Source organism: Homo sapiens, chromosome 12, assembly GCF_000001405.40.
Source record: "Homo sapiens chromosome 12, GRCh38.p14 Primary Assembly".
NCBI lineage: Eukaryota > Metazoa > Chordata > Mammalia > Primates > Hominidae > Homo > Homo sapiens.
This window is the reverse complement of record NC_000012.12, coordinates 102,169,259-102,185,980: the sequence shown is the minus strand read 5'-3', so window position 1 is coordinate 102,185,980 and position 16,722 is coordinate 102,169,259. Positions and strand designations below refer to the sequence as shown.

Here is a 16,722-nt window from a genome sequence, read left to right as displayed (position 1 = left end):
TGAAGCTGTACTAAAAAGTCTCCCAGCAGCTGGGCCGGGTGGCTCATGCCTGTAATCCCAGCACTTTGGGAGGCCGAGGCAGGTGGATCATTTGAGGTCAGGAGTTGGAGACTAGCCTGGCCAACATGGTGAAACCCCATCTCTTCTAAAAATACAAAAACTAGCTGGGCATGGTGGTGGGTGCCTGTAATCCCAGCTACTTGGGAGGATGAGACAGTAGGATCACTTAAAACACAGAAGGTTACAGTGAGCCGAGATCACGCCACTGTACTCCAGCCTGGTTGAGAAACTGAGACTCCATCTCAAAAAAATAAAAAAAATTATCCCAGCAAAGAAAAGCCCAGGGCCCAATGGCTTCACTACTGAATTTTAGCAAACATTTAAAGAGAACTAATACCAATCCTACTCAAACTATTCCAAAAATAGATGAGGAGACACTTTCAAACTCATTCTACAAGGACAGTATTACCAATACCAAAACCAAACAGAGAAAACTGTAGGCCAACATCTCTAATGAAAATTGATGCACACATCCTCTACAAAATACCAGCAAACCAAATTCAACAACATATTAAAAAGATCATTCATCATGACAAAGTAGGATTTATCCCAAGGATATAAGAATGGTTCGACATATGCAAATCAATCAATGTGATACATTATATCAACAGAATAACGGACAAAAATCATATGATCCTTTCAACTGATGCTTAAAAAGCATTTGATAAAATTCAACACCCTTTCATGATAAAAACCTCTGAAAGACCATCATAAACAAGATTCCTGATACACTACAGTAGGAAATAAAAGTTGAGGACCTAAAATGAGTGTGTTCGTGAACTATTTCCAAAGGGTTTCATAAACTTTTGTGATCGCAGGAGCATCTATTTCTATTTAAGAATGAGGAAACTAAAATCTGAGTTAATTTACTCCATATAATAATGACATGGATATTTCATAAGCAAGTACATCAAAATTCTAAGTTATCTAATTATTTTCTACCTTTGAAATGCTCATTTCAAGATATTTTCTGTGTAGATCATATATTATTTCTGTGACTAAAAACCACTATATGCCAAAAGAGCAAAAGTAACAGAGTAATAAGATAATCAGCTGCTAAACTACTTTTCCATAGGAACTTTGGTAGTAAATATTGGCAGCATTTTTTGTTATTCCAACAAATACTCTACATGGCTATGGTTCAGTTGTATACCTGGTTAAACTAATCATTTTCATACTTCACTTTTAAAAAGAGTATCGCAAAAACATAAGCAATGCTTTCCTTTCTTGATTGCCGTTTATTAGTAGATTCAGAGCTGTATAGACTAAGTCAGCTCTACTGTTAAGTAATGGAAGCAATGTAATTATAACCTCATTAGTATTTAACCATGGTTTTGCAAACTGTTATAAAATATTTCATGGTAGTTATGAGATCTTGGATAAGGTGCCTTCTTAGAATTTTGGTTTCCACATCTGTAAATGAGACTGCATTAGATGATCTCTGTTCTATTTCCCAAAACTTTCTAAATTTGTCTATACGTTTCGTAGTAATTAGTTGAGCCTTAACATTTTCTTTAAAAACACTCTCATTTCTCAGATAGATTTTTTCATTTTGATTTACTTAATTTTAAGAAAATCCAATTGGATTGTTTATAACACCAAGGATAAAATGCTTGAGAGAATGGATACCCCATTCTCCATGATGTGATTATTATGCAATGCATGCTTATATCAAAACATCTCATGTATCCCATAAACATATACACCTACTATGTACCCACAAAAGTTACAAACAACAAAATTTAAAATAATAAAAGTAAATAAAATAAAAGAAAACTCTAAGCCCTTTCCCGGTAATATTTAACGTACTTCACTGTCAGTGATTTTTCCTTATGTCATGTCTTACATTCTTTCTTTTTTTTTTTTTTTTTTTTCAGATAGAGTCTCATTTTGTCACCCAGGCTAGAATGAAGTGGTGTGATCTCCACCTCCCAGACTCAAGCGATTCTCCTGCCTCAGCCTACCGAGTAGCTGAGATTACAGGTGCCCGGCTAATTTCTGTATTTTCAGTAGAGACAGGGTTTCACCATGTTGGCCAGGCTGGTCTCGAACTTCTGACCTCAAGTGATCTGCCTGCCTTGGCTTCCCAAAGTGCTGGGATTACAGGAGTGAGCCACCATACCTGACCCACTTTGGTATTCTATTTGAAATGGAGACAGAGAAATTGAGCTCCCCAAAATATGACTTATTTTTAAATCAAAATATTAAAGTTTGTCAGTATCCATAGCAAGAAAAAAATTTTTTTGATATGTTACACTTCTGTTTCTATCCAAGTCCAATGGATAGATTTTAAAAATCTTATCCCTTGATTGCAAATACTTATATTAATATGACAAAGAATTGACAAATTTTATTCACAGAAAAATTTTATGAAACTCAATGATGTATTCCACAAGCATTAATTGCTAACAACTACTAATAATCAATAGAAAGAAAAGGTATTAATAAATAAACTAAATGGGTATAGGGTATGTAGATGAAACAGGTATTAACTAAAAGCTTTGGTAATTTAAACTAAATTTCCAAATGAAAAAATAAAGGGCATACAAATTAGTCTTCTCTTTTTTGTTGTATCAAGATGAATATTTGACAGTTTAAGGATGATTATAAATTTTATATAAAAATCTTATTTAATGAATTAATGAATTCCCAACCATACAACAGTGTCTGGATCATAGTAGATACCCAATAAAAGTATGATAAATGAGTTAAAGCCAAATTTCTTTTTGAAAAATAAGGCCAATAAAAATTGCTTGAAAACACATTATTGATTACTTATAGGCACAGATGTTTCATATGAAGACAGCAAAACTTAGTTCAAACTAAATGAACAAAGAACAGGAACAGTTCTAGTCAAGAGCAGTGTAAAATGCTCTCAGCTCAATCTATAATTAATTATATTCTGCCATTATATCTTCAGACAGGAGCAAATTTAAAATCACATATCTTGAGATTCAGTTTAAGATATAGAAATGTAAATGAGAAAGCCTTATCTTCTTTTATTTTCCACATCACTCATTCAACGGATATTTATTCAACACTTACAATAGCAACTGCTTATTCATTTCCCTTTTTTAGGTCCAGTGGATTAAGCAAACCAGAAACAGATTAGTCAAGACTGTATAAAAGGAAAGTCTCTGTACGTCAACTGTCATAACTCATTTTCCATTTAATTCCTACTGTGTCATGTACAATGTTTACAATATTTACAATACCCAGCTCAGCTTCATGTATTTATTTCTTCTAAAAATAAAACAGTGTTTGCTATTTTCATGGCATGCATTAAATTGTACCTTAATTTTTTTCTCTTGCATTGACACACAGATGCGTTCTCTTAGGGGTTTTATCGAATTATTCACCTGTGTGGGAGACCTATGTCAAAAAAAAAAAAGGCAAAAATTTATTGCTATGGTTGGAATGTTTGTTTCCCTCCAAATTCACGTTGAAACTTAATTCCCAATACAATCTAGTTTTTCCTCAACTTATGATGGGGTTACCTCCCAGATAAACTCATCATAAATTAAAAATACCATTAAGTCAAAAATGCATTTAATACACCCAATCCACCGAACATCATAGTTTAGCCTAGCCTATCTTAAACATGGAATTAGCTGGAATTAGTACATTCCAATATCTGTTGGGCAAAATCATCAGGCAACACAGCAGAGTATCAGTTGTTTACCGCCATGATCATGTGGCTATCTGAATACTGTGGTTCACTGCTGCTTCCCAGAATCATGAGAGAATATTGTTCTACATATTGCTAGCTCAGGAAAAGATCCAAATTCAAATTTCGAGGCACAGTTTCTACTGAATGTGTACAGCTTTCACACAATTGTAAAGTCATGTGAAGGTAAATCACAAGTCAAACCATCATAAGTTGGGGACCATCTGTGGTATTAAGAGGTGGGGCCTCAGGGTGATTAAATCATGAGGACTCTGCCTTCATGAACAGGATTAGTGCCGTTATGAAAGGGTTTGTGGGAGCACTTTTTGCCCTTCAGTCTTCCCAGCCACGTGAAAACCCAGCAAGAAAATCTAATCTATGGGGAAGAGGCCCTCATCAGACACCAAATCTGCTGGTGCCTTGATCTTAAGACTTCCAGACTCCAGAACTATGAGAAACAAATTTTTGTTATTTACAAATTATCTAGTCTGGGGTGTTTTGTTCTAACAGCCTGAAGAGATGAAGACACTTACAAACCAAAATGGCTTTTAAACTAGTATCTGCCCCGCCCCTACCCAAAAGCACAGTTATAGGATAAAGGACCACTAAATCTACTTGTTTATAATACGGTCATGTGCTGCATAACAACATTTTGGTCAACAACATACCACATATTTGACAGTGATGCCATAAGATTATGATGAAGCTGAAAAATTCCTATCACATAAATACTTACCTTTATGTTACTATTTCTTTATACTATTTAGTACAATAACATACTGTACAGGTTTGTAGCCTAGGTGTGTAATAGGCTATACCATCTAGGTTTGTGTAAGTATACTCTATAATGTTCACATGACAAAATTGCCTAACGATGCCTTTATCAGAATGTATCCCATCATTAAACAATGCATAACTGTACTTTATAAAAGTGTCATTATTTCTATTCTGAGAATCCTAAATATTAATAGTTTGCTTAGTCAATCCAGTAACTAAATGTTTCATGAGCTTCTACTATTTGTAAGGCACTATACAAGATATTGTGAAGAATAGAAAGTTGACTTATTTATTGACCCTATATTCAGGCATCCTGAAGTCTAAGTAAAGAATATAAGAAATCCACATAACTGAAATTCAAAATAGTATGAGAATTCAAAAGAGAAAAACATAGAAATAGGAGGGTCAGAGAAGGTAAAAAGGAGAAGACCCACCCTATAGTTTTGGATTCAGACCAACTTGAATACCTTAATAAATTAATCCCTTTTGGCTTAATAGAGCCAGAATTAGAACCCCCTTGACTCAAATGACTACTAAGCAAGAATAAAAGATTGCCTGCCCTAAGAAAGAATAGTTGATAACCTTAAATTGATATACCTCATTGTCCTTAATTTTATCATTTCAGTGTAGACCACTGAAAATTTACTTTACCACAGACCAGTGTTTGTCTGCACAATGACAATTAGAAATGCGAATGCAGAATCCAAACTGTGAACAATAGCAATGTGTTCAGTGACATGATTAAGTATAGAAAAACCTTTTCTTTCTTGCTCTGTCACCTAGGAGAGAGTGCAGTGGTGCAATCATAGCTCACTGCGGCCTCAAGCAATCCTGGGCTCCCAAGTAGCTGGGACTACAGGCATGCACCACCTCAGGCTCCCAAGTAGCTGGTACTACAAGCATGCACCACCACACTGGGTAATTCTTTTTTATTTTTGCAGAGATAGAGTCTTACTATGTTGCACAGATTGGACTCAAACTGCTGGTCTCTGGCAATGCTCCTGTCTTGGCCTCCTAAAGCTCCGGGATTATTAGCATAAGACACCATGCCTGGCCTAGAAAGATTCCTTTTTAAAATGGACTCTGGGATTAAATTTGTTAGAATAAAAATTTCATGAAAGGAAAATAACTTTAAGAAAATGAATTCAGTCTGAGAGAAAATTGAAATTATTTACATTTCTACCCAAAAGCAAACTTGTTAAACAGAAGTAAGATGAAAAGAGAAAAAATAAAAGTTCATTTATTTCTTTTTACTGTTTTCTGGGATCCCAGCAGCAGGTATAAGTAAATCACTGATAAAAATATTTATCGTTAATAAAATATTTGGGCATTCTAAGGTAGAATGTGGAAGAATTATTTCATGTCCAGATATAAAAGAATAGTCATGGAAGTTGGTAAAGAAGATGAGATTTTAAGGAATAGATGACAACACTGAATGACAGACCACTGTAAAGTTTCTGTTTAAAGAGAAGAGAAAGGATACTGAGGCATAGGAGAGAGTATGTGAAGCAATCATGAAGCCAGATTTCAATAAAATAGCTCCAGTAGAAAATAGAAGAGATCAAGCGGTACGATAATTTTGTGAAAATTCTCTACAGTGTACTAAATACAATTTAAAATGGTTGTTCTAAAAATTTTAATGTTTCTCAAAGTGAATGTCCAATTAATTAAAAATATCAACAACCTACTCAACGACTGACCTAATCATTAAAACTGGAGAGCATCTACTATAGATGAAACTGCATCACCCATATATATATATCTATATGCCTTAACTCCCAAATGTGACTGTATTTGGGCCTTTTAGGAGGTAATTAAGATTAAATGAGGTCACATGGGTGGGATCCAAATCTAACAGGACTGGTGGCCTTACAAGAAGACAAAGAGATCTCTCTCCATGTGCTTCTACCAAGGAAAGGACATGTGACCACACAGCAAAAAGGCAGTTATCTGCAACCCAAGGGGAAAGCCCTCACCAGCCCTGACCATGCTGGCACCCTGCATCTCCAGCTTCCAGCCCAAAGAGAAAATAGGTTTCTATTGTTTAAGCTACCCAGTCTGTAGTATTTTGTTATGCCAGCCTGAGTAGACGAAGACAGCATCAATGTCTTACACATAATACCAGCATTAATTTGGTAAATATTTTTCTTCATAATTTGAGGGAGAAGCAGGAGCTGTCAATTCCAGTGTAAGTTTGGTGTATGTGCTCTCTCTTATTCTAGGCAGAATAGTAGTCCTGAGAGCATAGGCCTCAGGCTTTAAGAAAGACACCCTTGCTAATTGCTAACATACCTCACTTGGGCAAATTACTTAATATCTCTCAAGTCTCTAATTCTTCACTTATAAAGTGGAGCCTCTAATTCTTCACTTAAGAACATGTTGGTTGGGAAGGCTGAAATAATTTAACTGAAACATTTAGCAAAATTCTTGACCCACAGCAAAGGAAATAAATATTTTCAAAGCAAAACAACAAGAACTAAAAACAACACTGAAACCAAAGACATCTCTCAGGCTGTACTCTCATAAAATATTACTTCTTTTATATATAACCTCTTTGAATTCAAATGTTCAATCTCCCTTTAATTAACTTTTATTTTCTTTCTTCACAATTTCTGTAGTTTCTAAGTTTCCTACCATAAGCATACATTTCTTTTATAATTCTCTAGAGTTAACATTTATAACACATATAACTTCCACATAACTTACCTAAAAAGTGTAAGAATAGACGTTCCATGATGATGGATTGTGTTTTCCTCATCATATAAAAGCTCTGCTTTGTTTTTGGTAGGAGCATTAGCTGCTTCTTCGTCCAAAAGAACTAATAAGGCTTTCACAGTATCTCTGCCACAGTATGCAGTACCATGGTTTATGGCATGAGATTTTGGCTGAGACAAAAAATAATTTTAGGTAAATGTAATAATCACCCCAGCTGGGTGAATGGCCATACTTTTAAATTCCCTGTGGCACTGGCCTCTTTCATCTATTGTTAAAGTAATAAAACATCAGCTATAAGAAGTGGCTGTGAGGCATGTGACCATTTTTCCTTAAGCCATGCTATAATCAACTTTACCAATTCCAAAAGCACAAAAATAATATCATCAAAAGAAGACATTAGGTTCTGGTCAAAATAACATTAGGCTTTGAGTCAGAAAACTTTAGCCACTATCTAGCTATGTGACATCAGCCCCATGGCTCAACATCTCTATTTATTTTTTCTCTCTTATGCCAAAGAATGATGAGGTTCTGGCTATCTGAATACAGGCCCCATGGATGACTGTAACGATCAAATGCAAAAATGAAAAGCTAGTTGACATTCATTCATTCAATAATCATTGATAAGCATATACTATGTCCCAAGCACTATATTTAAAGCTAAGGTTCCAAAGGTAACAACCATTGCCTTCAAAGAACCCATAGTTTCCTTGATAAGATAAATAAGTAACTGACAATTGCATTACAGAATGCTAAGTGCTATTTCTAATAAGTGTACGCACAGTGCAGTGGGAGTACAAAAGAAGTGACCAATGTACCCTGGCATCAAAGATGATTCCACAGAGGAGGAGGCACCCAGAGGAAGAAGAGAGCATGGTGCTTTCAGGGACCAGGTAGCATGGCATGGCTGAAGAATAAGGTAAAAGGGAGGAAGTGGTATGAGATGAGCCTGGGAAACTTTGTATATCATGCCAAGAAGTTATAAGCCAGTCTGTTACAGAGGAAAAATCTCTTGCTTCAGTAAGCAAGGAAGTAAAATGATCCTGTTTAGATTTTAAAGAACCAATGATGGCAATGTGTAAAATATATTGTGAGATACGAATGTTATCAAATCTGGAGACAGGTCACAAATTAAAGACTATAATAGAACAGTTTAGAAATGGAGAGTTCTGAACTAAGATAGTAGTAATAGAGATAAAGCAGATTAAAAAGGGAAAGCTGAAAAAAACTTCATGACTAGATAGAATAAAATAAAATATATAATAATAAAATATTATGTATAGATACATGTAAGCACAAACTCTGAAGGCATTTCTGGCTGGATTTGATACCAACTGCTTAGTTGTATATCCTGTATAACTCTGGAGAAGGTGCTTGAACTCTCTTCTTAAACTCCATGACAAAATAGAGGCAATGATAATGCCTAACCCAGAGGGTTGCTGGACATTATACCTAGATATCAAAGCTACATCTTCTGGGACATCTGTTATAAGCTGTGCCAGTTTCTTCAGCTTTCATCAATATCATCTTGGCCTTCTTTCTCTGTTGGCAGACTCAGGTTACCAGGTGAACTATAATGTATATAGCTCTACTGGAATTATAACAAATTGCCTATCACAATCTGGTGCTTCACATATATTTTTCATTAGTACCACAGAATTCCATATTCCTTAATAGTAACTTCATGAGTATCATTTGATTATATTTTTCAAAGATCTCTGATTTGGTTGAAAACATGAAATTAAGAACCAGATTGTTGGTATCTTTATTTCTTCTGCCAAGAAATGGAAGCAATTGATGTTTTTAATTATTTGAAGTTGACAGATTCTGATTGATACTTATAGTAATAACCTGGTTGTCATTTGAGCCAAACTATTCACCAGGAAGTGTTAACACCCATGAAATACACAGGTCAACAACCCTGAATCTTCCCCACCTTCAAAGTAAATCTAAAAACAAGCACTGTTATAGAAAAATAGCTAAAAGTGGTCCCAGAGTGCTGTGAGTAAATGAATGAACGAATGAATGATAAATAATAAAAATTAAGCAAAAGTCTTTCTTCATACACTGGCTACCATAATCATACCTAATAAAAAGGGGCTATTAGAAAGTTGAATAAATTGCAATAAACGAACTATACTACTCTAAAATTCTGTTCTAAAAACACAGTAGTCAATTTCTCTTATAATTCTGTGGGTTAGAATCTACTCTATTTAATTATCTCTGTAAAAAAAAAATTAAGAATAAGTAAATGTTCTGGGAATATATAGTTTAAAAATTGCCAGGTACAGGTTTTAGTAATGGAGGTAGAAAACAAGAGACAGAGATTTATAAAAGAAAAGTAAACTGCTGAATGGAAGCAATTTCTAACAGGACTGTTGTTGTCCTAATACAATGCTTAGTATTAAAGTCAGAAACAGAAAAAACAGGCTTTTATTTTATATCTGAGTAAATGGGAAAGTAATTGTTTATGAGAATATTTAGGCCAGGCGTGGTGGCTCATGCCTGTAATCCCAGCACTTTGGGAGGCCGAGGCGGGCAGATCACGAGGTCAGGAGTTTGAGACTAGCCTGGCCAACATAGTGAAACCCCATCTCTACTAAAAATACAAAAAATTAGCCAGGCATGGTGGCAGGTGCCTGTAATTCCAGCTACTCGGGAGGCTGAGGCAGGAGAATTGCTTGAACCCAGGAGGCAGAGGTTGCAGTGAACCAAGATCGTGCCATTGCACTACAGTCTGGGCTACAAGAGTGAAACTCCGTCTCAAAAAAAAAAAAAAGAATATTTATGGAAAAATAGCATAAAACACCTTAATATCCATCAAGAATTATAAGTTTTTAGTACTAAAAGGGATACCAGAGATTACCCTATGCCTTACTTTAACAAATTCAGAAATTTGGCCCAAATATGTGATAATTTACCCAAGTTGAACATGTAATCCTACATAATCCTATTGAGAAACTTACATTTTCAATATCATTTTAGAACACAGGAAACACACTCTTCTGACTTAAGTAGCAATAATAAACCATTTCTACAATAAATAGAAGAGATAATGATTTGTATAAAAGGATAATGAAAAATAAAAAGCTCATTACCCGAGCAGGACTGATGTCAGTGGTGCTAAGAGCTACAACACCTTCTTGAGAATTGATAATATTTTTAATCCTCAAATCCAAATCCTGAGCAACTTCCTCTATTGCTTTGCAAAAAGGATCCCTGCTGTTTTGGCCTTTAATCAGTTGCATCTTTATCACTGACAGTATTTGACCCCCTGCAATGCTGAAAATAGAAATTAGATTGCCTCTATAGCAGTATTGCAAATTATAATATGCTTATAGACTTGAAAATATAATTTTCAGAGTTAACACTTTTCAAAGAATATAGCTTTGATCTTATATATCAAACAGTTAAAGCATTTAAGAAAAAGATAAGGACCATTAGAAACAAAATTTAAAAGTTTGTCTAAAAGCAAGTAATTTCAATAAGTTTCTTCTTCCTTGATTTGAAAGCTGATGGGAAATAATTTAGTTATATGTGAAATATAACAGGTTCAGAAGTGGTTGTACACATGCAATATATTTAAAATATATACCTTTAGATACAACTAAAATAACAAGAACAGTTATCTCTCATTGAATATCTAGACTCTTACATTCATTTAATCTTAAAACCAATTCAGTAAGTTGATATTATTATCCCTACATCACAAATGAGAAAATTTGAGTCCCACAAAGGTTAAATGGTTTGTCCAAGAACATATGGTGTTCTGTGTGAGGGAAGAGACAGGGAGGAAGGAAACTGACGTGAAAAACATGATATTGCATTCTAATAAGTGAAAGGTTTTATTACATGGAAGAGGAAACTAAGCAAGTTAGTAATGACCTAAAGCAAACAAGAAACTGGACCAACTATGGCCAACAGACAAGTGTTTTTAAAAACCCGAAATTGATATTTCTTTATACCACACCTAAAATTAAGAGTTTGGGTTGCAGCTTCTGCTCTAAAGGACAAATGTGAGAAACATATAAGAGGAAGGATTTTGGTCCGTTTTAAGGAAGAAATGAGGTGTGTCCAATAGAAGAGGATTCTCTTTTAAAGCCAGGAGATCCCATCCCTAGAGGTATCACTGGAAAGGCAGCACAGTGCCAAATGAGAAACTGGTGTGGTCTGACTACAGACCATGAAGTCAGGCTGCCTGAGCACATATCACAGCTCTGCCACTTTCAACCTTGGGTATGCTATTAAATTTCTCTTTTGTAGTGGCATAAAGGAAATTATGAAATGAAGTTTTCACTCTCGCCTTATTGCCAGGTTGTATGTTTTACAGAAATGCCAGGTTCCCTAACAAGCTAGAAAGAGATGAATGTCCACATTTAAGTAGCTGGTCCAGATAGAAGAGGAAAGTTAGAAGAAAATTGCAGAGAGACTTAGTGTATGATGACAATGCATTTTCCTAATCATCAGACTCATATCCGGCATTTGTTTAAAACATCAACTCCAGATCCCATCCTATGGAATTACAATCTCCAGAGAAGAGCACTAAATGTTTGCATTGTGTTAAAAGTACCACAGGTGATTCTTATGATTAGGCAAGGGTGAGAAAAAAGTCATGAAAAAATCAGCTCCTTGAGAAAGCAATCATATTTTACTGATCTTCATACTGTCAGTTTACATTTGGCACACAGAAGAGATGATTGATGTATGTTTGTTGAATAAATGAATACTATCACATGCAACAATCTAAAGTTTTTAATAGTAAGACAAATGATATATATTTTACTATTCATATTATTATTATTTGCAATACAAAAGTACTTAGGTGGTGTCTACTTACACAATGGCATACTAGATACCCTGAAGAACATATCACCGAAGAGACAAAAATCTCCCAGTACCACCCAATCTCTCCCTCAAAAAGGAACCAACCAGAGCTGGCATGGTAAGCCGAAAGCTGTGCATAGTAAGCAAGCAGGATATCATCCTGAGGACAAACATCTCTAGTAACACTGTGATCAGGATACAAAGCTCAGGGATAGCAGCAAGGTGGAAGAGGACAAGCAGGGACTTTCACATTCAGTTTGAACCTTTCAAGGGAAAATAAGCTAGCATGGTTTTTACTAGATTTATTCTATGTATTTTATATTTTTGAAGTTTTTTTTAAAAAAAAATCCTTCTATTTAGTAATGATACAGAAATCCAATTGCATTTTGTTTATTGGCCTTGTGTCCAGCAACACTCTTAAACTGTACTGCCAATTGTAATAATTTGCCTTTACATTCTTGGAGTTTTCTATATAATTAGTCATATTATCATCAAATAGAATTTTATTTTTTCAACTGTTATATCTCCTATTTCTTTTTGTCTTACTACACTGAATTGGACATCTCATGCTATGTTGAAAAGAACTGATGACAGCAGGAACTCTTGTCTTATTCTTAAGCAGAACACTAAAACGTTTTACCATTAACTAGGTTTTTAGAGAAACCCTTTTGTCAAAGTAAAGCCCTTATTCTTAGTTTATTTTTACACTGAGGGCTTAGCCCTGTAGAATGGGTATGTGTTTCCTATTTATCTCCCCATGCTGGCCAGTTCCTGGGCTAAAAGCTGGCTTCCCTTCTTCACTTGCCTCGCTGGCTTTCCTCCTTCACCTATTTTTGACCTATATTTTCATTACATTTGCCTACTTACCAACGCATTTAAGAAGAATTTTTGAAATATGCTATCCAACATTATTAATTATTTTCAATGGAAGAATCAATCTGGGGGCCTAGTCTGCCATACTTCTGTAATCAGAAGTCTGAGTAGACCCTAGGAATTCTTTCACATATATGTGGACTTTCTTTTTCAGCTGTGAACTGGATGAAATGTAGCCAAAATGAAAACGTAATTAACATTATATGCTTTTCCTGGGAATTAATCTCTAATAGAAAAGAGTTTTGGAAAAGATTCAAATGGTTAATAAAATCTGGGACTGTCTTAGTGCCAATTATAAGAACAAAAAAAATGCTTCAAATGATATTAGGAAAGTCACCTTTGACCTCCTTTTCTCATTCCTTCTACATGACAAAAATGTTAAATTTTAAAGATGATGTAATTCACTGGCTGAATTGTATTTAGGAAAAAATAAGACTTGTATTTCAGAGACTTGCCAAGGTCAACATTTTGAAGCCATGGCAAAATACCCCAAACAGTAGTGCTCTGATTACTCCATTACTATATACTCACTTCTAGAGCCACCATTAGGTTAGCTTCTAATATCTGCTCAGCAACACAGTGGTTTAATTCAAATTCTTGCTTCTAAAGCCTAGAAACTCCAGAAGTTTTAACTAAAATGACATCAGGATATTTATGCTGTTCACCGGCAATACAAAAATGAATAAAATCTTTCTCTTTAAGAGCTCACAAGTGATAATGATACAATGAACTACTGAAAGTATAGACAAGTTTGAGTGGGGAAGTAGAGAGAAGGAGGAGGTATTCAGGAGTGCTTCCCAGAAGATATATTATGGCTATTCTGGATAAACATTAATAGGAGAATTTAGATGAGAAAGAGGCAAACTGAGCTCCTGACTCCTAACTGCATCACACCAGTGCCCTGGGGCAGAAAGAGAAACAAGAGGCTGCTGATGAAAAGCACAACTGAATCCCCAAGCTTGTACCAAAATAAAGTAACTGGAAGAGAACACTAAGCAATAATACAGACAAATGATTGGTAATACTTTAATGTAATTACTGAGTTCTTCACTTTCCTAAATAAAGTGACTGCTTTTCCATACCATACTCAAGAATTTGATAACTATTTGTTGAAGTAAATTTTACCTTTAAAAATTAAATGTAATTAAAGGTGCCACATAAAATATATGAAAAATATTTCTGAATTTTTTTTTTTTTTTGAGGCGGAGTCTCGTTCTGTTGCCCAGGCTGGACAGCAGTGGCGCGATCTCGGCTCACTGCAAGCTCCGCCTCCCGGGTTCACGCCATTCTCCTGCCTCAGCCTCCCGAGTAGCTGGGACTACAGGCGCCCGCCACCACCACACCTGGCTAATTTTTTGTATTTTTAGTAGAGACGGGGTTTCACCGTGTTAGCCAGGATGGTCTCGATCTCCTGACCTCGTGATCCGCCCGCCTCGGCCTCCCAAAGTGTTGAGATTACAGGTGTGAGCCACCAAGCCCGGCCATGAAATATTTTTAAACAAGAAAAACTTTAACATTAGGAGATTAGACTGAAAAATTTCAGTGAGATTTAACACTCCAAACATGTATATTTAGCCCAACATAAATAGTTATGTGCTGTATAATAACATTACAGTCAGCAACAGACCACATATATGATGGTAGTCCCATAATATTATAATGGAGCTGAAAAATTCCTATTGCCTAGTGATGTAACATCGTAGCATCATAGCTCAACACATCACTCACATGTTTGTGGTGATGCTTGTGTAAACAAACCTACTGTGCTGCCAGTAATATAATAGTATAGTGCACATAATTATGTTTAATACATAATACTTGGTCATTATAATAAATGACTCTTACTGGTTTATGTGTTTGCTATACCTTTTATCATTATTTTAGAGTGTACTCCTTCTACTTATTTAAAAAAAAAAAAAGCACTAACTGAAATAGTCTCAGGCAGGTCCTTCAGGAGGTATTCCTGAAGAAGGTGTTGTGACTGTAGGAGATGACACCTCCAGGGGTATTACTGCTCCTGAAGATTTTCCAGTGGGACAAGATGTGGAGGTGGAAGACAGTCATATTGATAATCCTGACCCTGTGTAGACCTAGGCTAATGTTTATGTTTGTGTCTTAATTTTAAACAAAAAAGTTTAAAAAGCAAAAAAAAAAAAAAAAAAGAAAAATTAAACAGAGAAAAGCATATAGAATAAGGATACAGAGAAAAAAATTCTGTACAGCTGTACAATGTATTTGTGTTTTAAGCTAAGTGTTACTACAAGACTCAAAAAGTTTCAAAATTTTAAAAAATTCATAGTCAAATTTTAAAGTTCATAAAGTTAGAGCAAGCTAAGTGTAATTTATTCTTGAAGAAAGAAATATTTGCTCTATAAATTTAGTGTGGCCTAGGTTTATAATGTGTATAAAGTCTACAAGAGTTTACAATAATGTTCCAGGCCTTCATATTCACTCACCACTCATCCAGAGCAACTTCAAGTGCTGCAAACTCCAGTCATGGCAAGTACCCTATGCTTATCTATGTTTATGTTTTATACTGCATTCTGAACAGGACCTTTTCAATGTTTAGATATGCTTAGCCACACAAATACCATTGTGTTACAATTGCCTACAGTATTTGATACAGTAACAGGCCATACAGGTTTGTAGCCTAGCAGCAATAGGCTATGCCATATAGCCTATGTGTGTGGCAGGCTACACCATCCAGGTTTGTGTATGTACAGTCTATGATGTTTGTACAGTGATGAAATTGCCTAACAATGCATTTCTGAGAGCATATTCTCATCAAGTGGCGCATGACAGTATAATGTAAATGTGCATTAAAAAGTTGTGTGATAAATGTGAAATACAGAATTTTCAACTTCTGAACAACAGGGAACTATTAATTGATACAACTTGAAACATCTCATTTAAGACATCTTTCAGGTGAAAGTACACTATGCATTTTATGGTGTCACCTACTGGCAAAGTGTAGAAATGCAGCCACCTATAGCTAAGATGGCCTCATGAAAAGTGGGCAGTGGGGCGATGAGTGTTCTTTATTTCTTCCCAGTCTGTCTATTCCACCCTTCCTTGGACTCAAACATTACTGTAATTTTTCTATTTAAAAATAAGTAGTATAAACTTTTCCTCAGATACAAGAGCTAAATACATTTTTATTTCTAAGTTTTAAGGTTGACAGAGACGAGGAGGATAAAGAGGTCAGAGTGAGAGATGGGCAGGAGTTAGAGCATAGACAGTTTTGTGTATCATATTGAGGTTCCTGAAGCTTTACCCTGTACCAAATATGGAATCACTGAAAAGTTTTAATTATGGGAGTAACATTTGTTGTTTCAGAAAAATCACTCTGGCAGCAATGAGGACGACAGGATAGGGCAACTTAAGACTGGAGGCAGAATAGACAACTCAGTGACACGTGAAAAGGTCCAGACAAGAAAGGATGAAAGTCTGAAACAGTAAACACTGGAAATAAAATAGTAGCTATAGGAAGAGATGAGGAGAAAGAACATAAAAAATGTGAAGTAAGAAAAAGTGACGGATCTTAGTGAGTGAATGTATTTAGGATATGCCCCAGATTCTTGTTTGGGAGCTGGAGAGAGACAGGCTTCATCGCTTCAGGAGGAGAAGCAGTTTTGCAGAGAAAGACAAAAATTTAGTTTAGGACATATGAGTTGCCTGTGAGGCACCATCTTAAAGATAGTTGAAGATATGTTTCTGAAACTCAGGAAAGAGGTTCGAATTTCACTGAAATATAGATTTAGAAGAATTTGCATATATGTAGTAGAAGAGGTAGGTGGAAAATAAGAGAA

The 16,722-nt window shown here is 35.3% G+C and overlaps 1 protein-coding gene across 75 annotated transcripts in view; it reads right to left on the bottom strand.

Moving 5' to 3' along the window:
- The window catches only part of PARPBP (PARP1 binding protein), a 77,338-nt gene that overhangs the window by 11,540 nt on the left and 49,076 nt on the right, over positions 1-16,722 (bottom strand). For 27 of the 75 annotated variants that reach the window (NM_001319993.2, NM_001319988.2, NM_001400855.1 and 24 more), the window contains 3 exons: positions 10,315-10,498; positions 7,211-7,389; positions 3,354-3,432 (listed from right to left, as the gene is read on the bottom strand). The exons of 13 other annotated variants lie outside the window; for them this stretch is intronic. In NM_001319993.2, the coding sequence (NP_001306922.1) occupies positions 3,354-3,432; positions 7,211-7,389; positions 10,315-10,498 (442 nt within the window). Of the gene's footprint in view, positions 1-3,353; positions 3,433-7,210; positions 7,390-8,034; positions 8,124-10,314; positions 10,499-16,722 lie in introns of those variants that run through there. 35 more of the 75 variants (NM_001400870.1, NM_001400871.1, NM_001400925.1 and 32 more) reach the window with 6 other exon arrangements.